The sequence below is a fragment of the Homo sapiens genome, chromosome 3, assembly GCF_000001405.40.
Source record: "Homo sapiens chromosome 3, GRCh38.p14 Primary Assembly".
Classification (NCBI taxonomy): Eukaryota; Metazoa; Chordata; class Mammalia; order Primates; family Hominidae; genus Homo; species Homo sapiens.
The window spans coordinates 160,290,076-160,313,326 of NC_000003.12; the positions used below are offsets into that span (position 1 = coordinate 160,290,076).

The 23,251-nt window shown below is 35.5% G+C and overlaps 1 protein-coding gene and 1 long non-coding RNA gene across 6 annotated transcripts in view; both read right to left on the bottom strand.

Moving 5' to 3' along the window:
- The window catches only part of TRIM59-IFT80 (TRIM59-IFT80 readthrough (NMD candidate)), a 258,294-nt gene that overhangs the window by 62,622 nt on the left and 172,421 nt on the right, over positions 1-23,251 (bottom strand). For all 3 annotated transcript variants that reach the window (NR_148401.1, NR_148403.1, NR_148402.1), the window contains 3 exons: positions 17,588-17,706; positions 13,840-13,914; positions 10,808-10,971 (listed from right to left, as the gene is read on the bottom strand). This is a non-coding gene — a long non-coding RNA (TRIM59-IFT80 readthrough (NMD candidate)). The remainder of the gene's footprint in view (positions 1-10,807; positions 10,972-13,839; positions 13,915-17,587; positions 17,707-23,251) is intronic.
- The window catches only part of IFT80 (intraflagellar transport 80), a 142,240-nt gene that overhangs the window by 33,090 nt on the left and 85,899 nt on the right, over positions 1-23,251 (bottom strand). For all 3 annotated transcript variants that reach the window (NM_020800.3, NM_001190241.2, NM_001190242.2), the window contains 3 exons: positions 17,588-17,706; positions 13,840-13,914; positions 10,808-10,971 (listed from right to left, as the gene is read on the bottom strand). In NM_020800.3, the coding sequence (NP_065851.1) occupies positions 10,808-10,971; positions 13,840-13,914; positions 17,588-17,706 (358 nt within the window). The remainder of the gene's footprint in view (positions 1-10,807; positions 10,972-13,839; positions 13,915-17,587; positions 17,707-23,251) is intronic.

The window sequence follows — 23,251 nt, forward strand, 5'->3', positions numbered from 1 at the left end:
ACAGATATTATGTCTGACCAGAACACCTCCCCCACCTACTACTGAAAGTCCTAATGGGGCCGGGCTCACACCTGTAATCCGAGCATTTTGGGAGGCTGAGGTAGGCAGATCACTTGAGGTTAGGAGTTTGAGACCCGCCTGGCCAACATGGTGAAACCCCGTCTCCCCTAAAAATACAAAAAATTAGCTGGGCGTGGTGGTGCATGCCTGTAATCCTAGCTATTCAGGAGGCTGAAGCAGGAGAATCACTTGAACCTGGGAGGAGGAGGTTGCAGTGAGCCAAGGTCATGCCACTGCACTCCGGCCTGGGCAACAGCGCGAGACTGTCTCAAAAACAGAAAAAAAAAAAGAAAAAAAAAAAAGAAAAAAGAAAGTCCTAATGGGAGTCATAACTAGATTGAGAAGATATAGAAATGCAAGAGCTAATGGGATTTAGGTGAAAGTTTTGGATGAAAATTCGTATATTTAAAACAAGCTTTGGTGTTTTTTGTTTGTTTGTTTTTGTTTTGTTTTGTTTTGTTTAGATGGAGTTTTTGCTCTTGTTGACCAGGCTGGAGTGCAGTGGTGCAATCTCGGCTCACTGCGAACTCTGCCTCCTGGGTTCAAGCAATTCTCCTGCCTCACCCTCCCGAATAGCTGGGATGCCAGCTAATTTTTTTGTATTTTTAGTAAAGTCGGGGTTTCGCCATGTTGGCCAGGCTGGTCTTGAATTCCTGACCTCAGGTGATCCACCTGCCTCGGCTTCCCAAAGTGCTGGGATTACAGATGTGAGCCACATCTGGCCCTAAACGAGCTTTATGTTAAGTAGTTGTGTCTCATTTACCAGGATATATTATGCGGACTGATATTATGTCTGACTGGAGAGCGTTTCCTCTATTAAGGAATGTGAAACAGAGAGCATGTAAATCCACCCTTTAAGCAATATTAATTAGGAATGCAAAATGGGAATCAATAAGATTACTCTAGTTCAACAGGCCTTTAATATCAATCAGTATATGAACTAGTATGGATGAATTCTCTATACAAAAACGCTGGGTAGAATACAGATTGGAACTTACAGGCGAAAGCCTATGAACACCTCTCAGTGAAAATTACTGGGATTTTGGACTAGAGAATTCCCATCTGAGAGGCAATTACTAGCTTGCTATTTGACATTAATTGAAACTGCCCCTATAACCGAAGAATAGAAAATAATCTTGAAATCTAATGTACCCATAGTATCTTAGGTGATACTGGAGACACATTCTACTAGGAAAGGCAATGCCCAGAAGAGTTTCATAATAAAATGAAATGTATTGAGTAGGAACACATTACTGGGAAATGCAAAAAGTTACACAGTGTATTCATGAGTCTACCTGCTCTGATGGACTTTGGAACCACTTGAGTTGCTGCCAGATTCTGTTGACACTCGGACAGTGGCCTATAAACAGCTCTCAATTAACCAACAAATAGCTGCTTGGTTTATGAATAGCAGTTCAATTGTGAACATACAACATTTTATTTGTAAGGCCATTCCTCTGACAGAAGAAGGTGAAAACAAATAAGCGTGGTGGGCTGCACTGCATGCTGTTTGCCTCAATATCTGAGTTTTTATTAACTCGCAGGCCATGGTCACATGGTCAGGCAAGAAGGACAGTGGAAAACTGGCCTATTATAGGCATGCCCATATAGGGTACAGCCTCAAGGAACTTACTGTGGGAATCTGATGGGTGCATTAAGGTATGTCGTATCAATGCCTATGGGGAGACTTCCCCTTCAAGGTTCAAAAGGTGATTGGAATTGACGAGCAAATACCTCAGGATGCCTGCTTGAGGTGGCCCCCTGGGTATATGAAGCAAGTGGACACTGGGGGCTGCAGCAATGCAGAGATGAACTGAATCTAGAAATGTTCCTCTCAAACCCTCTGAGGCACAAAATACCAGTAAGAACTTTCTGTCTGCCCATGACAGACTGCAGATGGCTATAGGGCAGATTCCCTCAGAGGAAGGCCCTACACATAGCTGGAAACTTGGACTCATGCCAGTAGCCCTGGATGGCTACAAAAGGGTCCTGACATGAATAGATGCCGAGTCCGCACTGGGCTTTACTTAACCAGTGGTAGCCTGGCACATACTGAGGGAACTATAAAAGAACCAGCAGAGAACATAATGCATTGATTTGGACCACCTAGTCACATTTCGTCAGACCAAGGAACATACCTTACAATCCATAATGTCCAACAATGGGCAGAGAGATATCTTCCCCAGAGTAATGGTTTGGTAAAGAATCAGAATGGCAAGTTAAAACAGTGGTTTTCTAAAACAGGGGAAAGTATGAAGAACTGGCTTGCATTACCAGCATGAGTATGGATTCATCAAGAGAGAAGCAAAGAGATATAGATTCCTGCACTAGAGAGATTCCTTTTTTTTTTTTTTTTTTTTTTGAGACGGAGTCTCGCTCTGTCACCCAGGCTGGAGTGCAGTGGCGCGATCTCAGCTCACTGCAACCTCCACCTGCCAGGTTCAAGCAATTCTCCTGCCTCAGCCTCCTGAGTAGCTGGGATTACAGGTGCACACCACCACGGCCAGCTAATTTTTACATTTTTAGTAGAGACGGGGTTTCACCATGTTGGTCAGGTTGTTCAAACTCCTGACCTTGTGATGCGCCCGCCTCGGCCTCCTTTTGTTTTTTTGATGGATCTCAGGGAGAGGGGGAGGAGAAAGGAGGACGCTGGTATGGCAAAACACTTTTTTCTTTCTTCCTTATATCACCTTCTCCTACCTGACACCACGGTCCCAAGACCAGGGCTACCACTACAAATGCCAGAAGCAGAGATGGTTCCCAAGAAAGAAATTGTAACTATACTTTTAAGCCTTAACATCAAAATTCCTAAGGACCTGATAGGATGGGTTGTGTCTTCACTCCATCTGGAGAATTTAGGTTTAATAGTGAATGCAGCTTTATTGGCTGGTAGCGGAAATAGCCTGTTTGCTCTATACAAATGGATAGGAGAAATAATAGCTGAGAGTAAAGAAATGAATAAATGGGTTATGCAATAAGTAAAATATTACATTAATGCTTCAAAAGAGGCTCAGAGCAAAAGAATGATATTGTTTCTTAGCTTAATTATAGCTGATACATGAAAAGATGAAGCCATATATTGCTGAGACCTCTCCTGCCTGGAACTTGACAAACTTGAATGGAATCCTATAAACCTCAGAGGCCTAAACTTGAAGACAACTTGGTCACAGAACATGATGATGGACTGGACTAATTATTAATGACTAGTAGAACTCTAGTAATGCGCTAGTGTCTTCTGACTCTTACTTTACAATATGGTATAACACTGGAATTGTTGGTAAGAGTATAATACTGATAGTACTGGGAATGGAATTAAAAGCCTCCTATCTCTACCCAATATTGATTCCTCCAAACATTAGGCATATTCATGCTGGTCCTATTGACAGGAATGATCCTTTTGCCATATGGGATCCATGGTCATAGGCCAGGGGGTGGTCTGTAGTTTAATAAATAATTTGTCTGGTCTTTGTCCTGGGCTCCTGGCAGGTAGCTTCAAAAATGCTTGGAATTTTCTGAGTGATAGAAGTGCCATTATTATCCTAATAAGGTGACTCTGGTGAGCCCCTAGATAGCTTCAGGATAGCGGTTGGTCACCAGAAAGACCAATCTCATGTTCAGAGGGTTGAGTACTTTCAGCCCTCCACCCCATTAGCAACCTCTTGAGAAGAAGGGAGCTGGAAACTGAGTGCAATCACATGGCCAATGACTTAAATAATCATGCCTAATTAATCATGTAATCAAACCCCAAAAGTATTCTCTAGACACCAAAACTGAAAGCTCAGTGGAGCTTCCTTGTTGAACACATTGATGTGCCAGGAAGGTGATGTACCCTGATTCCATGAAGGCACAGAAGCTCCAGGCCTCACCCGAGGTCTACCCTTTTTAATAAAATTGTAATCATAAATACAGTGCTTTCCTGAGTTCTGAGTCATTCTAACAAATTATTGAACTTGAGGGGCTGATGGGGTCCCCAAATTTTTAGCCAGTTGGTCAGAAATGCAAGTGCCCTTGGGAACCCCCACCCCCACAAAACTAGTGCTGGCATCTGAAGTGAGGTCAGTCTTGGCAGGCCTTTGTCCTTAACTTTTTTTTTCTTTTTTGGAGACAGGGTCCTGCTCTGATGCCCAGGCTGTGGTGCAGTGGCGTGATCTCAGCTCACTGCAACCTCTGCCTCAAGAGGGCTCAAGCTATCTTCCCACCTCAGCCTCCCAAGTAGCTGGGAGTACAGGGGCGTGCCACTATGCCTGCCTAAGTTTTGTATATTTTGTAGAAATGTGGTTTCACCATGTTGCGCAGGCTGGTCTCAAACTCCTGAGCTCAAGTGATCCACCCATCTTGGCCTCCCAAAATGCTGGGATTGCAGGCGTAAGCCACCATGTCCAGCCAACTTTTGGCATCGCACTAACTCTGAGTAATCAGTGTCTGAATTGAATTACAGTACATTCAGTTGGAGTAGAAAAAGATTAATTACTAACAAGTGAGATTCTCCATAAGTCATCAATACGGTGTTACAAATTTGTGGCCTTATTGTAAAATATTCAACTCAAAGTTCCAGAATACCAGAGAACTATGGAGAAGTCTTGAAGAACCTATATTTGTCACAAACACTTGCTTTGGGAGCTAAGCTAAGCTCCCAGTCTGAGAATTTCCCTAAACTCTTGAGGGAGGCTTTCAGAACTATCCTCTCCGTATCTCCAGTAAGCCCCCTAATTTTTAGAGTTAGTGGAGGAAAAGGCATACACGCAAATAAGGTGCAGTCTGTAAAATAATTTTTTAAAGTAGATGATTATTTTAGCATTACTTCTAAAGTGTTTTTCTTTTTAGGGGCTGCTTAGCAATGATTTATCTAACTGATAGTTGGGGAGATCAGCTCCTGTAATAAAACGGGGCAGATATTTCAAGATTAAATATTTTCCAAAGATAATCAAGAGTTGATTTTAAGACAGACAGAACATATGTTTGGGTCAATAGGTAAATGAAAAGATGCTCAATGTAATTAATCATCAAGGAAATGCAAATCAAACCATAATGAGATACCACCTCAAACCTGTTAGGCTACTGCTTTAAGAAGACAACATGTTGGTGAGGATGTGAAGAAACTGGAAAACTTGCCCACTTCTAGTGAGAATGCAAAATAGTACAGCCACTGTGAAATATATTACGAAGGTTCCTCAAAAAATTAGAATAGGCTGGGCATGGTGGCTCATGCCTGTAATCCCAGCACTTTGGGAAGCTGAAGTGGGAGGATCGCTTAAACTCAGGAGTTTGAGACCAGCCCGGGCAACATAGTGAGCCATTGTCTCTATTAAAAATACAAAAATTAACTGGACATAGAGGTGCCTGCCTGCCTGTAGCCCAGATACTTGGAGGCTGAGGCAGGAGGATCACTTGAGCCCACGATGTTGAGGCTGCAGTGGAGCACCAGTGCACTCTAGCCTGGGTGAAAGAGTGAGACCCCATCTCAAAAAAAAAAAGTTAAAAATAGAACTACCCAGCAATCCCACATCTGAGTGTTTATCTGAAAGAACTGAAATCAGGATCTTGAAGAGATATTTGCATTCCCATGTTCATTGCAGCACTGATCACAATAATCAAGATGTAGAAACAACCTAAATATCCATTGACAGATGAACAGATAAAGAAAATGTGGTGTATATGTACAATGGATTATTATTAGTCTTCAAAGAAAAAAGGAAATCCTGCAACATGTAACAACATGGATGAACCTGACGGACATTATGCTAACTGAAAAGCTAGTCACAGAAGAACAAATATTGCATGATTCCACCTATATGAGGTATACTAAAATAGTCAAATTTATTGGAACAAAAAGCAGATCCAGTTGCCAGAGGCAGCAGGGAGGGGGAAATGGGGAGTTGCTAATCAAGGGCATAAAATTTCAGTAACACAAGATGAATTAAGTTCCAGGTATCTGCTGTCTAACATTGTACCTATATTGTATTGTATGCTGTTAACACTATTGAACTGTACCCTGAAAAATCTGTTAAAAAGGTAGATCTCATGTTAACTATTTCTATCACAATCAAATAAAAATAAATTTCAATCCTAAAAAAAACTGCCTGGAAGCCACTAAATAGATATAAAGTATTCATTAAGATCATGTAAGTATTTTAAAATTTCACTATATAAAAATAAACTTCTGGTAACTTTTGATGTAACAGCTCAATTTCCCTCAGATTTATCTCCAAACTTACTTATAATAGTTCTGGTCCTCACCACATACATTCTAATTTCGCCAAAGGAGTGTCTATTGCTCATACTTCTCCACCCCTACCACTTTCTTTACCTGTATATTGTTATTCTATCTGCCTGGCTTTCTCTGAGATATTATTCTGTCAACAATCCCCACTTTCTCCTGCACCTTTACTCTGGTTCATTCTCAGCATATAAACAACTCTGCTATCATCCTCACTAAAAAAAAAAAAAAAATCACTATTACAATTCTTTGCCTTTTTTTAACCCTAAACTTTGTGAAACAACAGTTATTCCAGTTTTTACAACTCCTACCCATTCTTCAACCTATGACAATTTGCTATTCAACCTTACTACATTGATAGAAAGGCTTTGCCTGGGTCACCAATGACCCATATATTGCCAAATCAAAGACTATTTTTAGTCCTCACTCTAAGAGTCTATTTTTAGTCTTGACCTCCCAGCAGCACTGTTGCTTCTAACTATCCTCTCTGTCTTGAAACTCTTATGTGGGCTACACATAACATTGTTTTCTCCCAGTTCTCTTCTATTTTGGACCATTCCTCATTCTTCTTTGCTAGCTCCTCCTTATCTGACAACCCTTGATCTTAAGGTTTTGTTCTTTGCTGCCTTTTTACTATAAATACTTTCCCCTGTATCATTTAATTATACAGCATCAATCACTATTTAAATAATGATAATTCATAGTTCTCTATTTCCAGCCTCAACCTTTCCCTGATGTTGTGAAGTAGGTGAAGTTGTAAAAATTGCAGGAGATATTCTATTGAAGAAGCCTGGCACAAATGCTGCCTCTGCCCCTTTCTCTGTTTCACCAAGGCTTCTCTTAGTCTCAATCGTAACAGTGATATTGGTAGCTGCTGTTTACTCTTTTGAAAAGATTGTTGGGAAAGAAAAAAAACAAGAAGATTATTTTGATGATTCTCTTTAAGTAATTCTCAAATTACTCCAGCCCAAGATTAATAAATAGAGTAATTTTATATGACAGCATATGAATAGGATTACAAGAAATGAAAAGATAGAAATGGCATAAGAGAGAAGTGGCATTGAGTACTCAGCAAAAAAAATTGGACAACATATATAGATTATAAAAATGCTACAATGTGTATAACATGAAATTTAATTCCAGAGGATTGCACTTTTAATACATTATTAGCTTTTAGTAAATCATAGGATTTTAAGTTGGAGGTCACCGCTATATTCACCAAGAAAAATCACGTTGCAACATTTAGTTATCTTCTAAGGTTGCCAATTATGAAAAATAAAAAAATACTATAATAGAATTTTTAATTAAGTAGGAAAACAAAAATGTAAAATTTTTGTCTTTCATTTAAAAAATGCTTTGGGTTTGGCTAAATCCTATTATTTTCATAGCTATGCAAACTAATAAACTTTTTAAACAATAGCAGCCTTCCATCCTTTTTCTGACTATATATATAAAAAGCTGGGGATATGTGGATGAACTCGTCTACTTTTTCCATAACTGTAAGTGCATCTGATCTATGGGAGGCTGGTCCTGTTTTTCAGTGTTAACATGTAATAGAAACTGGCAGAATGAACAACTAAGGAGCTGTGAGTTGAAATAGTTGCTTCGAAACATGAGTAACTACTCCCCAACTTCCAGACATTTGTTTCAAATAATCACCACACTAATATCATAGCATATCTGTGCAAAGTGAATAGGGAGAAGAAGGCAGGCAAAAATAGCAGCTCTAGTACTTAATCAATCACCAAAAGGGGTACTCAAACCCACCCAAGATCTATTTATGGAGCACCTATTATAATACAGAGTACTACACTTGACACAAAAATAAAGAAGCTCCCAAATTAGGAAGGAACCAGTGATATCAAATACAGATGGCACCCTTCTAAGAGTTAAATACGTTGGGTACTTCAGTTGTGTTTCCTATTGTTAGCATTTACCTCTATTTAGCCATCAATAAATGCTAATTTTTTTAAAAAAGGAACATACAAAATATTTTCCCCTCATTTTAAGTTCTACAATAATTTTATTTTAGTCTTTTAAGTTTATATTTACAGCAAAACAGAGTTACATAATTATCTTGTTTAACAAAAACTTACATAAGTAAAACAGATACTTAATTGGCATATAAATTCATATTTCTGTAAATGTTAATAATTCTTTCTAGCTTTAAAATTCTATCAATTATCAATGGATTAAAGAATAATGAAATATGTTCCAGATGTGAATTAACTCCAGAAAATTTCAGAAAATTTCAGAATGTGTTCAGTTGGGAACACATATACTGCCATGCCTTGCTCAATGATGGTGATATGTTCTGAGAAATGTGCCGTTAGGCAATTTATCATTGTGTGGACATCATGGAGGGTACTTATACAAACCTAGACAATATAACTTACTATGCACTTAGGCTATATGATATAGCCTATTGCTACTAGGCTACAAACCTACACAGCAAGTTACTGTACTGAATATAATGGACAACTGTAACACAATGGTATTTGTGTACCTAACCACGTCTAAACATAGAAAAAGGTAATGCACTATGACATTACAATGGCTATGACATTACTCGGTGATAAGAGTTTTTTAGCTCCATTATAATCTTATGGTATATGCAGTCTGTTGTTGACTGAAATGTTACTATGCAGGGAATGACTGTACTTTATTAAAGCTTTTATCTAAAATATGTGGTGTTGAATAAGGAAAGCATAGACAACTCATAGTGATCACAGGGACTTTCAATCTTAAGTTTATTGAAAACAAAAATCTGGCTTCCAAATTACTATTATTTTCACAATTTATAGTTATCTTAATTCTGTCTGCCATCTGGATACTATATTATTCCATTCTGTTTTCCTCTTTCTTAGCCAAAAAGGAAGTCCTTTAAAAAAAAATTACCAAAAGTCTTCTCTCAGAGAAGGCCTAAATGAAGAGATAGAAAAGCTCTATTTAGGAGAGTTATATTTCCTGCCAGTATAAGAGGTGCTATTATCTGAAGTACTGAAAATTAAAAATTAGGACAGTTTCTAGTTCATGAATTAGGTCTTCCGTGGTGTGAACTAACAAAATTAACATTCAAGTCAGATTTTTTGGTAACAGTAATGTACAGTGTTTCATGATATATATTAACAGAGAGAAACAGTTATTTAATATTTAATATTTTTCACTAGGTTTTTGGGATCACTCACTCTTAACTTTCCTCTTACCTCACTGGCTCCTCTTCCTTTTATTCATCCCTAATTACTGATGTGCTGTGTTTGGTCCTCTTCTTTGTGTACACTTACTTCCCACTGATTTCATTCAGTGTTATGGCTTTAAGCGCTAGCAGTATACCAATGACCACCAAATTTATATCTCTAGTCCCAACCTCTCTCCCGAGCCTTGGACTTGTTTATCCTATTGTTCACTCTCATCCCTGCTTGGCTGTCTAAGAAAGATTTAAACATACCAGGACCAAAATAAACTCTTGGTTTGCAGACCGACCCCCTCCAAATGACCTCCTTCTCTGTCTTCCAAATCATTTACTCAGGATAAAAACCTACGATAACATGCTTGCCTTCTCTCTTTCCTCCATGCCCACATCTTCACCATGGCCAAGTCTCTACATGATCTGGTTCCTGCCTATCTCCATGTTGTCCTCTCCTCCCACTCTCTACCTAGCTCATTTTGACCCAGTCACATGGCCTTCTGGCAGTTCCTTTAACATGCCAGTTACTCTCACCTCAGAATCCTTGCACTTGATTGTCTGTCATTCCCCTGCTCCACCTTCACAACGCTTTATTCTCTCACCCTGCGCTAGTTTTCTTCATAGCATGTATCATTACCTGACAATTTATTATATATTTATTAAATTTTAATTTTTATTTGCTAATTTTGTTCACCATTGTATCCTGAACTTCTAGACAAGTAGTTGCCACATAGTAAGCACTCAATAATACTTGCTGGATGAGTGAATCTGTGATACACATATGCCCTAATAAAACGGTTTCATTGTACTATGTAACCCAAAACACCTGACATACTTATATTTATTTATAACTACTAATGTGGCCTAGATTTTTAAACAGAAAATTTAAGTTATTCATACCTTTCTTTCAATTAACTTAAAATATGAATTTAAAAATATAAACAAATTAAATAGTTCAATGAAGTGCAATATTTACTATGTTACCAAATGAAGAAAAAGGGAATATTTAAAAAGATAAAAAACTTAAGCCTTAATATACAGTTTTAGGACCACAACATTAAGTTCAAACTCTCTACCAACAGCTACTGAATATATAAAGATTTTTTTCCTGATTACTGATCTTTGATGTTGTGACAATATCTGTTTGTTCTATTAACTGGATATAGTATGACAACTTCAGCTGCTTAATTAACTCATGTTTTGAAAACAAAATAGAAAGCTCATAATTCTTTTTCTATAAAGCTGATGTACTGGTAGATAAGAAAATGTAAGTTAATTTGTGAAAATTTTATAGTGTTAACAAATTTCATATTTGACAGGAAAAATTATAAAAATATACTTACTTTTTTCATCAGCTTTGTCTCTTATTGCTATGGTATCATTACTCAAAGACACAGTCTGTGCATTCAGAATATCTGTTCTCATTCCAGGAAATTTTGGAGATGAAATAAAGCGCCCTTCATATGAATATAAATAGATACTACTACCATCTACAAGAAGAAAATGTCTAAAAAATAAAGAATAGAAATAGATTCTCAAACAGGAGTATACTTTATTTTTGTTTTCATATTACAGAATAGTTTATCCTTGGGAAAAAAAATCTAAATCTTACAATTAATGTAAATGTGTAGATATATAAGGAACAAAACATTTTAAACACTGAAAGCCAGCATTGGTTGTTTTGGTTTGTTTTCTGGGTTTTTGTTTTATGATGAAGTAGGAGAAGAAAAATGAAAATGTCCATAATCACCACCCTATACACTAAAATTCTGACTTCTTTTACATTATACCCACAATTCATTTCCTTTCCTGAAGAATATTCTATACAAAGGCAATCAAAAAATCGTATAATTTACAATATAGTCATTTTAATGCCGGGTGCTATTTGTTTCATGAAACAGTCTTAATATATATTTTATAACTAAAGATTATGCTAAAAATAATTAAAGATTAACTAGTGGTTAAAGTTTAAAGCAGTGAAAATGACTAAAAAAATTAACATTAGGGCAAGCATTTATTAAAATAAGGCAGTTGTGACTTTAAAATCATATGGTGACTATCAGTATGTATTCATATCTAAAAACACCTATTTTTTTGCCACAGGGTCAGATTCATCTGCTATGCTGACAACCATATTTAAGGCACAGGGCTCTCTGTAGTTAATTTTTTATTAACTCAAAACATAAATATTTTATGGCTGTTATATTTTTCCTTTGAAAATTTATGAATATTGTACAAAATAATTCAAGCAATACAGAGAAAACAAAAGACCTCTTGAGATCCTACCTCCATAGAGATAACTATGGCAAAGTATGAACTTCCAGAACTTTACTAACTCACTCATTCCTGATAAACATGTTTCAAATTATTCACTGTTTTAAAGAATGTCTACAGTGTATATATATCTCCATATGTCTGCCCTACTTATTTCCTTAGTACAGCTTCTAGAAGTGCAATTACTGGATTAAAGACCATACATTTAAAATTTTTAAATATATCTTGTTTTATTGCCCTTTGAAAAGTTGTATTGATTTACACACATACTATGGCTATATTGGTGTGCCTGTTTCCTTCATGCTGAAGACATTATTACTTTTCAAAATCTTATGTTTAATGTTTTAAATATCCTTGATTCAGAACTGGTTCTTGATTTAGGAATTGCTAAATGTTCTTTTTTTGCTATGGAAACAAAACAGAAATAAATGCCAAAACCAATGAAAAATTAGTGTCTAATTAACACCAACCACATACACTTCAATTAAATTAATACTTGAGGGTTGGTAGGTAGTTTATTTAATTGAAGGGTTTGGCCCTTACATACTAGTGTATGGTCATACATATTGGTTTATGAAAACAATATTTGCTAAACTTGACAAAGTGACATATATTAGTATATATTCCTTTGTCTCAGTCTAAAAGCATTTTATTTTCCAATAACACACTATGGCTTTTAACCTATTTGTGAGTAAACACCCTGTTTGAAGGGGCAAACATCTCTATATACATAAATAAGACCAATGATAGGCAGTAACTAAATTTTTTGGCTATTTATGCCATTAATATATGTCTTTATTAAGAGTATATTCAATAAATACATTTATAAATAATGTATAAATGAATTTATTTCGAACTGTTAAAGTAAAAAGCATTTCAGAAACATGATTTTTTAGATAGCTGATATCTTACCTTTTAAATGACAAAAATGACTTATTTTAAAAAATTTATGATGTAACTAAATAATTGATACATTTCAATTTCATTAAATAGATAACATAAAATTTGATATAACATTTTCTTGGTCATTCAAGGTCATCAATATGGTGATCACATTTTTCAATAACTATTTAACTGATAACTTTGATACTCATAAGAATCTGTTGGTGCACAGAATCATTATACTACTCAGCTACACAGTTCTGTGCTTTTAGTTTTCTCCATGTTCCCTTGCCAGGCAGCTACTTTCCTTCCTGTCATTGTGCCAGTCTCTAACAGCCCACCAGTACCATTCTTCTTCTGGTTTTCTATTTATAAAAAGCTGTGGGCTAGAAAACCTGATAATAAACACTATTAAGAGTTGCCTACATGATGAGGAATGAGGAATAAAGCACATGGTTTTGGTGCAAATATTTTATGGGTAGATATTTTAGGTAACTGTCAATTATATTTTCATAATTTTTAACAAGTTTTATTGGGTTGTAGCTGTCTAAGTCCTCCTCTGATTCAGTAGGCTATCACTGTACTCAAGAGACTAATTGACAGTTTTCATGGAAAAGTGTAGGTTCTTGAGTAATAGCTATTCCTAATTTACTCCAGTTAATTGCCTGGCATTTCTTAGTCCTGTATACACTGAATGTCTTAGTAGAGAAAACTAGTTTTCAAACTTCAGGTCACAGACCAGTAGGCCCATGAAACCAAAGAGTTTCAACCAATATTTAAAACAAAGCAGAAAAGAACAGAATAGAAAATAGGAGGACTATGAGGTAAAAACTCTTTAATAGTTATTTACCTGTGTTGCTCTCATTCTCTCATGTCATTACTCTGATGTTTACTTGTAATGAGTTTATTCTCATCCCTTAAAATAAATAGCTTTAAAATTTGTTTTAATTTCTAATATCGTAAATGCTGATATATTTAATCCACATATAACCCTGAATAATTTTCTAAGACTGTTAAGAAATTCAGAGACTAAAATGTTTCAGAATCACTGATTTAAATAACTTATTTATTCTTTTCTTTTTCTTCTAAAATGTAAAATAGAAACAGATTGGTTCTAAATGACTAGTATACCATTCTTTTAATTGGATGTTTTTATTAAAGAGTGCTTTAATGCTATTTATTTTAACCCCAGATCCAGTAGTTAAACATAATAAATTACCTTTCTGCCTGCAGAATCAAACTAACAGTTCCTTCTTTGAGATCAAATATAATTGGTGTGTTCCAGTTCTTCGTGCTAAAAGACAAGTAAAATGGATATTTATTAACATTTAAAATACCAAATACTTTTAAATAAGTAGATTGGTATTCATTTTAAATAAAGTTACTTCAGTTTCATAGCAATTATATACATACTTTTATTACAGCACTTGGTGCATTGTTCTGAAATTATTCACTTATATGTCTGTATCCCCAACTAAAAAGCAGAGACTCTGTATTCCCAGCAATTAGCACATAATAGGAATCCAATAAATGTTTACTGTAGGTATTACAACATGCGAACTGAGGAATTCTAAGTTTGAGTTCTGCCATGTATTGGCTCTGTGAGTTTGGGCAAGTCATCTAATGATTCTCATTTTAAAAACAGTAGCAGCATGGCATAATGAAGAGATGATAGCTTTTTGTTAGACATATCTGGATTAGAAATATGGTTTCACCACCTGTCAGCCACTTGATTTTTTCTTTTTTTTTTTTTTTTTTGAGATGGAGTCTCGCTCTGTCGCCCAGGCTGGAGTCCAGTGGCACAATCTCGGCTCACTGCAAGCTCCTCTTCCCAGGTTCACGCCATTCTCCTGCCTCAGCCTCCCGAGTAGCTGGGACTACAGGCGCCTGCCACCACACCCGGCTAATTTTTTGTATTTTTAGTAGAGGCAGGGTTTCACCGTGTTAGCCAGGATGGTCTAGATCTCCTGACCTCATGATCCACCCGCCTCTGCCTCCCAAAGTGCTGGGATTACAGGCATGAGCCACTGTGCCTGCCCACTTGATCTTAACAAGCTTAACCTGCTAAGCATTAGCTTCCTTATTTGTAAAATGGGGATAATGATGACTTACATTTTGTCTGGCAAAAGACCTGTTATAAAGCAGGTACCAGAAAAACAGAAACTGTAATAACAGTAATATGATGAACATGATTATTTTTCCTGCAGGCCTCCCAATGTTATTGTTGGGTTGAAATGAAAAGATTTCTGTGAAGCATTCTGTAAACTCTAAAATACTATATAAATGTAAGCCATGAACATGCTTATTGAATAAATGGATTAATAAATGAACAAACAGATCATTTTGTTTTTATAGGGTAACATGAATCAAAGATCGGGGTGGGTAAAGAGAACATTTACAAACAGAAAAACCCATCCTTAAATAATAAAAATTGTTCCACAGTTTAAAATAAGTTTTATTACTCCTATATATTCTGAATTTCTCAGTAATTTTCATAAAGCCAATTCTCTACCTCAGATTAAATCCCACGTTCAAATCCAGAAGATGAAGGAGGGAAGGGGAAGGAAGCAGTGAGTAAGCAAACTGGTAGGCAACTAATCTTGGCTAATGCAAAGAATCTGATAATCATTTCAGTAAGTAAATACATGGACAAAGCAAAATAAATAAATTACTGCTAATAATTAGTGATTACTAATTACTGATTTAGTAATTATTAATTAGTCTGGGGTTCATAGATATGATAAAGATATATGCTTTTGTACTTTAGAAAAAAATCACAAAATACTTTATTAACTAACCTTCATTCTTTGTCAAGAGGGTTGGTAAGAAAAGTAGTGATTATGTGAGGGTTTAATATCCCCTTAGAAAGTATCTGAGATTTCTGACAACTGAGAGATATATAAATGCCATGGAAACATAAACTCCCTAAGCTATAAATGCTGAATAGGACAATAATATTTTCAATATAATTATCTGAAAAATCAAATGAAAATTTAATGTAGAATGCTTATATATTGTTTTCTTTTTCTGGAACTTCTTTTCATATAAACCAGTAAATTACTTGCATGTCTGTTTTTAAAATTATATTTTTATTACTAAAAAATAGCCAACAGTTATTAAGAACTTGTATTCAAATCCCTGCTTTCCTTTAGTAACAAAGTCAATAATCTGATGTAAGGTAAGTTATCTAATCATTCTCTATGTCCTTTAGCTTCAGCTTTCAAATGAGAATAATAATAAACATGAAAGTATAACAGTTGCTCAATAAGTGATAGTCATTATTATCTAAAATGCTAGTAGATTTTTAAAACTTTATGAAATATGTTTTGGTGGTGATTCATTCCCACTACTGCATCCTTGCATTTCATTACCACTGCTGCATCCTGGTATTAATATTTTGTACCTTAATATGTGTACCTTAATAATCTTGACATCAAAAAGGGGAGGCAAGGTTCAATCACAAAAGAAGAAAAGCAACCTTACATTTGCCACACATTAACTTGTAAGGGAAAAGTAGAGTGACCAAAAAAATTAACAGCTGCTAAACTTTGGATATTTTTAAGCAACTTCTCTAATACATGTAACACCTAATGATACTAATCCTACAGATTCAAACATTATGTCCTTGCCACTATAACTAGTAGAATAATGGGGAAGTTATTATGGGGAAGTTAAGAGCCTTACCTTTCTTCAAACAAACACTGAACTGAAAAGATCTCTGTTTTCCCCTGCCCCATGAAAATTAATTATTCAAACATCTATCTGCATTAAAGTGACTGTATGATTTTCTCACATTCTATAATCCCTTCCCCACATCTCAACTGCTTAACTTAGTATCTTTTTTGAATCTTCCCAAATTCTTACTGTTCCTCTTTTGCTCTCATGTAAGGAAAAAAAAAAACTCACATAAAATTAAATTGCCTATTTCTTTATCTACTCGCCTCTGTTTCTTCTATTTCATTATTCCAGATTTGGCTATTTGTCCCAAATTGCAGATTCTGATTAGTAGCAGGTTTACACATAATGAATGGGAATTTTTAAATATATAGTTGTAGCAGTTGTTATTTAAGTTAAATACCTTTGTGTTGTGTACTACTAGACTTGGATACCAAGATGATGCTATACTTTACATATTTTAATTCATTTATTCATTCAAAAGTATTTATTAAGTACCCACACGTTGGGCACTGTGCTAGGTGCTAGGCATACAGTGGTGAATGAGACACATATAGTCTCCATCCTCAATTTTATATTCAATGACTAAACTATACATAATGTTATAAATATAAGGACAAAATTTTTAAAAAATCCTTAACTATTTCTAACTCTTGAAAGTATTATAGTGGTTATGTGAGTTTTCTGGATAGTTGAGGAATCAACTGGTAGTATGCTAGAGCCAGCCTGTACTAGTTATTAAATTTTCAAGAATTTTGTAAGCCAACTGTTAAATAAAGCCATTATTTATTATTTGAGACAGGGTCTCACTCTGTTGTTCAGACTGGAGTGTAGTGGTAGGATCACAGCTCACTGCACCCTAGACCTCCTGGGCTCAAGCAATCCTCTAGTACCAGCCTCCTGAGAAGTTAGGACCACAGGTGCGCACCTCCACACCCAGCTAATTCAAAAAATTTTTTGTAGAGATGCGGTCTCACTGTGTTGCTTATGCTGGTCTCAAGCCCCTGCTCTCAAGCAATCCTCCTGCTTTGGTCTCCAAAAGTGCTGGGGTTACAAGCATGAGCCATTGCGCCTCGCTTGTCTATTAACTGTTGATGTACAAACCTCGTTAGATCTATTTTCACTGCTCTAAGTTCACTTTCTCTCACTTCCGGGTTTGAGGTAGTTCAGGATAGCTGAGGTTTTGAGAAAGTTAAGCTTAAACCAAACCACGCTGATGTGAAATCCTGAAAATAAACTCCTCAGCACAGACAGACAAAACTCTGAAATTTTAAGAAATGCAAGATGCTTACGAGAACACGTAACATTGAAGAGACGTTGAAACAACTAAGTGTGCATAGTTCAAAGATGCTTTAATGACTCTATCACGGAATTCCAGTAAATCCACTGCATCATTAAGAACATTACGAACCTAAACAAGGAAAAATAAAATACCAATAAACATTATAACATATCCAAATTTTATTTAGATAAGTTAGCAAGATTTTGAAACACAAAAAATTAAATGCACTACTGATTACCTAATCATATAAAAAAGAATTTAATAGAAACTAGGCATAAGATAGTATACCTAATATTAAAAAACCAACTGACAAAGCATAGATACAGAAAATCTCTTAGAAATAAGAAGAAAAAGACCTACTGAGATTTCTAACTTGCAAGCCAAACTTAATGATGTAGCAATGGAGTGATATAAAAAATATTCCAACACTGAGATATAGTCAAAGGAGGGTGGCATATTGAAGTTGGAAAGATTCTATGTGATTTCTGCCCAAAATGGTAAGAATATCTCTTTTTGGTGTTAGATTTTACTTTAAAATATACATTCTAAAAGTAGAGACATAATTGCTTTAAAAATCAAAAGTGGGGTAGGAGGTATTGGTAAACAAACCAATTGCATGGTGAAGAAGCCAAGCTGCAGGGAGTGGGGAAAGGTATTTCCATATGCAAAAACACAAAGACAGTGTCTAAAAAAGCCAAGCAGCAACTAACAGAGAGATTTGCTTATGACAGTCAGATTTATCATAAAATTTGTAACAGACTATTTTGCAAGGATTTTAATATTTGGCAGTTTTGGAAAAAAATCTTGAAGTTGATGAACAAACTGCAAGAAATTAAGAAAAATGTTGAGCAAGTTAAATTTACGTATCTCTGGTCAATAAAAGAATGGGAATGGCAGTATAGTTAAGAGGAAAAATATAGGGGAAAAAAGTAATTATACCTAGAAATTAGTACTGCTTTAAGTTCTCCTCAAAATGTTACCATTTTTCTAAATATAATGTGACAATTATAATATTAATGAACAATGAAAAGTATGGAAAGAAAAATAGAAGGTAAATCAAACTTCTTATAAGTACTTCAAAGAAGTACTTAGGCCTACTAGGCATTGCCATGATCTAAATGTTTATGTCTTAAAAATTCATATTTTGAAACCTAATCACCAACATGACAGTATTAGCAGGTGGAGCCTTTGGAAGGTTGTGAGCCCTTATGAATGGGATTGGTGTTCTTATAAAAGAGGACCCAGAGAGCTGCCTTGCCCATTCCACCAAGCATGGACACAGCAAGAAGGCACCATATATGAATTAGAAAGTAGGCCCTTGCCAGACACTAAATCTGCTGGCACCTTGATCTTGGACTCCCAGCTTCCAAAACTGTGAGAAATAAACTTCTGTTGTTTATGAGCTACCCAGATTATGGTATTTTGTTACAGCAGCACAAACAGAATAAACAGGTATGTTATGTCTTTTTACTATCTGCTCTCTAACTCCCATCTCCACCAAAATATTGACCCAGCAATCTCATTTCTAGAGTCCCATCCCAAAGATAAATAAGCAAAACTATAAAATAACATATGCACAGACTATCACTACAGCACTATTAGTAATAGCAAAAGACTGGAAATAGCCTAAATGTCTATTGATAAGGGACAGGTTGTATAAACTATGATATAGTCACACAGGGGAATATTATACAGCTATAAAAAGGAATAAGGAAGATCTATAGATGTCCATGAGATGTAGTAAAGTGAAAAAATGCGCTAGGTGTGGTGGCTCACGCCTGTCATCCTAGCACTTTGGGAGGCCAAGGCAGGCAGATAACAAGGTCAGATCGAGACCATCCTGGCTAATGCGGTGAAACCCTGTCTCTACTAAAAATACAAAAAATTAGCCAGGCGTGATGGCAGGCCCCTGTAGTCCCAGCTACTCAGGAGGCTGAGGCAGGAGAATGGCATGACCCCGGGAGGTGGAGCTTGCAGTGAGCTGAGATTGTGCCACTGCGCTCCAGGCTGGGCAACAGAGCGAGACTCCCATCTCAAAAAAAAAATGCAAGATGCAGAACAGCGTGTATAGTATGATACCTTTTATCTAAGAAAGGGAAGAATATGAAGATATATGGATTTGCTCACATTTAAAAAAAAAACAAGAAATCTTAAACAGTATTCAGTAACATATTATTAGAATAATATTAATATTGTTATTTTCAAACTATATTTTAGGATATAATGTTTTCAGGAACCAAAATTTTCTGGTCAGAGAGAGTTACTCTTAAAAAATCAAGAGTAAAACTCTATAATCTTAAATTTAAATTAGAAACAGCATAAACTCGTGATGTATTTTCATCGGTCAAAAACAAAAGCATTTCTTCCCAGTGTAGACTCAAGTAAAAACGAAAAAAAAATTTTATCTAGAAGTAATGATCAAATCAGTAGCAATGAACACACGTTATTTACAGATCTGATTGTGGTCTATAAATAACATTTCCTTCCAAAAGGAGCAAGGCCCTCATGGAAAAATGGTTGATTCCAAGTCTAGATGGGAAATGTACAAAAGAAGCCTGAAACATCTTGTCACATCAGAAAGCAACGAAGCTATTGAAATCAGTCAAAAGAACATAGGAGCCAACTGGCCAAAGATGAGACAATTTGAGCATTAAAGAGAATAACCACGATGGGTTGAAACACACAGAAAATGTTAAAATCTACAAGTTTATCATGATAACATCAATGACAAGAAAAAAGAAATTCACTGGGCATGCTAGGAAACCAACTTATTACTTGAAAACTGGCAAACAGGAAAATAATTCAGCATTTGTTACCATTCCCCACAGGGTAATCTAATGGTTGAGGAGGCAAACAAAGTCTTTTATAGGAGAATTCTAGCTAATAAATGTGGAAGGAATCACAGAATTACAATGTTACTATTTCACAACCCCCAATGAAAAATAGGTCTAAACAACTATCATTAATGGCAGCTAAAAACATTAAGGTACAAAACCCAGTGGGAAGCTATATGATAGATGAATCAGGTTTATAATACCTGAACACGCTGATCAAATCTTAATACCACTAAAAGAGAGACAAGCAGACATATGTGCCTCCTGATGTGATGCAACAGGAAGTGCACAGCATCACCTAAGGCTCTAAACCCAATGACCAGTCTAGAGGAAACACAGGATAAATGAACATATTAATTGTAATCAAGGCTGGGCATGGTGGCTTATGCCTTTATTCCCAGCACTTTGGGTGGCTGAGGTGGGCAGAGTTCGAAACCAGCCCAGGCAACAAGGTGAGACCCTGTCTCTACAAAAAACAAACAAAAAAAATTAGCTAGGTGTGGTGGCAGACACCTGTGGTCCCAGCTACTCGGGAGGCTGAAATGGGAGGATCGTTTGAGCTTGGGAGGTCAAGACTACTGTGAGCCATGACTGTGCCACTGCACTCCAGCCTGGGTGATAAAGTGAGAGCATGTCTTGAAAAAATAAATACATAAATAAGTAAATAAAAATAAATAAATGTAATCATACCACAAAGATGGAATCAGTCAAATACAGAATGTGGGAAATTCAACAGAATAACCTGTTCCTTTAACAAATAAATTGTAAGTAAATAAATAATAAGAAGTTGTTTCAGATTTAAAAAGACTTAAGAGACAAATTAAATGCAATGTGGGGCTTTATTTCCTGATAAAAACAAACCAACTAGAAAAATATATTTAGAAAATAATTGGAGAAATGTGATCTGTTACTGTAGAAAGACGTTAGGAAAAGACTGGGGAAATGCGAATGTTACTATGGTAATGTTAAAATGAAAATAGTTCTTATCTTTCAGACTGTTTAAAAAGAACTTAAAAAACAATTCCAGAACTAGTGACAAAGAAAAAGACACGAATATTTTTGCTCACCTCTTCAAGGAGTAGGAGGAATGACTGTAAAGAGGGGAGTAGTCTGATGACAAGTTTCAAAGGAGCTAGAGTTTTTTAGGGAAGAGGAGGTTGTAGTGGTCTAGAATCAGCAGGAGTAAGGAAGACATCTAACCAGATCCAGCGATATGCAGCGCATCAAAGAAAAACACCTCTACTTGAGAAGGCTGGAGGAAAAACACTGCTCTCAGTAGTCAGGTGTTGTTTTTTGTTTGTCTGTTTTGAGATGGAGTCTCGCACTGTCTCCTGGGCTGGAGTGCAATGGCGTGATATGCGGCTCACTGCAACCTCCGCCTCCCAGGTTCAAGCTGGGGCTCTTCCGCCTCAGCCTCCTGAGTAGCTGGGACTACAGGCGCCCGCCACCACACCCGGCTAATTTTTTTGTATTTTTAGGAGAGACAGGGTTTCACCGTGTTAGCCAGGATGGCCTCGATCTCCTGACCTCGTGATCCACCTGCCTTGGCCTCCCAAAGTGCTGGGATTACAGGCATGAGCTACAGCGCCCGGCCAGTAGTCAGCTGTTGTTAATTAGAACAAGAATGCTCTTAGTGAAATGGCTGAGCTTTGTCTGCAAGGCCACAGCTATATGACTGCAGGTTGTGTAGTGCACAACTCTGGGTCTATGTGAATGGTGCCCTCTGGAACTGAGCAGGCCGCTGACTGCAGGTGGTGTCTTCAAATTTCCTAGGCCTACAACTACACATATGAAGCCCCATGTAGCAGGTGGCTGTAGATTTTTTTGGTCTCCTTTCAGGATGGAGAGAAAGGAGCTACCTCATAGACCCCCAGGCTCTGATTTCAAACAGACACTTGGATCTAGTCCCTTGTCTCACTTCAAGTATTAATACTTTCAGTTTCCTTAGCCAGCAGGAGCAACTTTCCTCACTGCCTTTCCTTGCCTGCTTCTGGACCTGAAGTAGGTCTGAGACTCCACGCTGTATTTTTGTTCTGTTTCTGGTCCACAGAGATCTTTATCTTGTGTTTGAGTCCAGATGAGTCTTATATATATATAATATATATAATAAATATATATTATATATAAATATATAATATATATATATAATAAATATATATTATATATAAATATATAATATATAATATATATAATAAATATATATTATATATAAATATATAATATATAATATATATAATAAATATATATTATATATAAATATATAATATATATATAAATGTATATTATATATAAATATATAATATATATATAATAAATGTATATTATATATAAATATATAATATATATATAATAAATGTATATTATATATAAATATATAATATATAATAAATATATATTATATATAAATATATAATATATAATAAATATATATTATATATAAATATATAATATATAATAAATATATATTATATATAAATATATAATATATAATATATAATAAATATATATTATATATAAATTAATATATAATAAATATATATTATATATAAATATATAATATATAATAAATATAATATATATTATATATATTTTATATAATATATATTTTATATATATTTTTTATATATATTTAAATCTTTTGGTGCCAAAAGTATGTCTCTTCCATGTATGAATTAACACCATTTTCACGAGAAGTCTGAGCTCTCAGAGATTTTTTTTTTTAAAGATCCAAAATGCCATCTTCTAGAAACAGTTTAAAGCTAGTAGAATGATATAAAAACTTTAAAGGGAAGTTGTATGTTAGTTTCTTTATAGCAACATGCTATCTATTCAAACTGCCT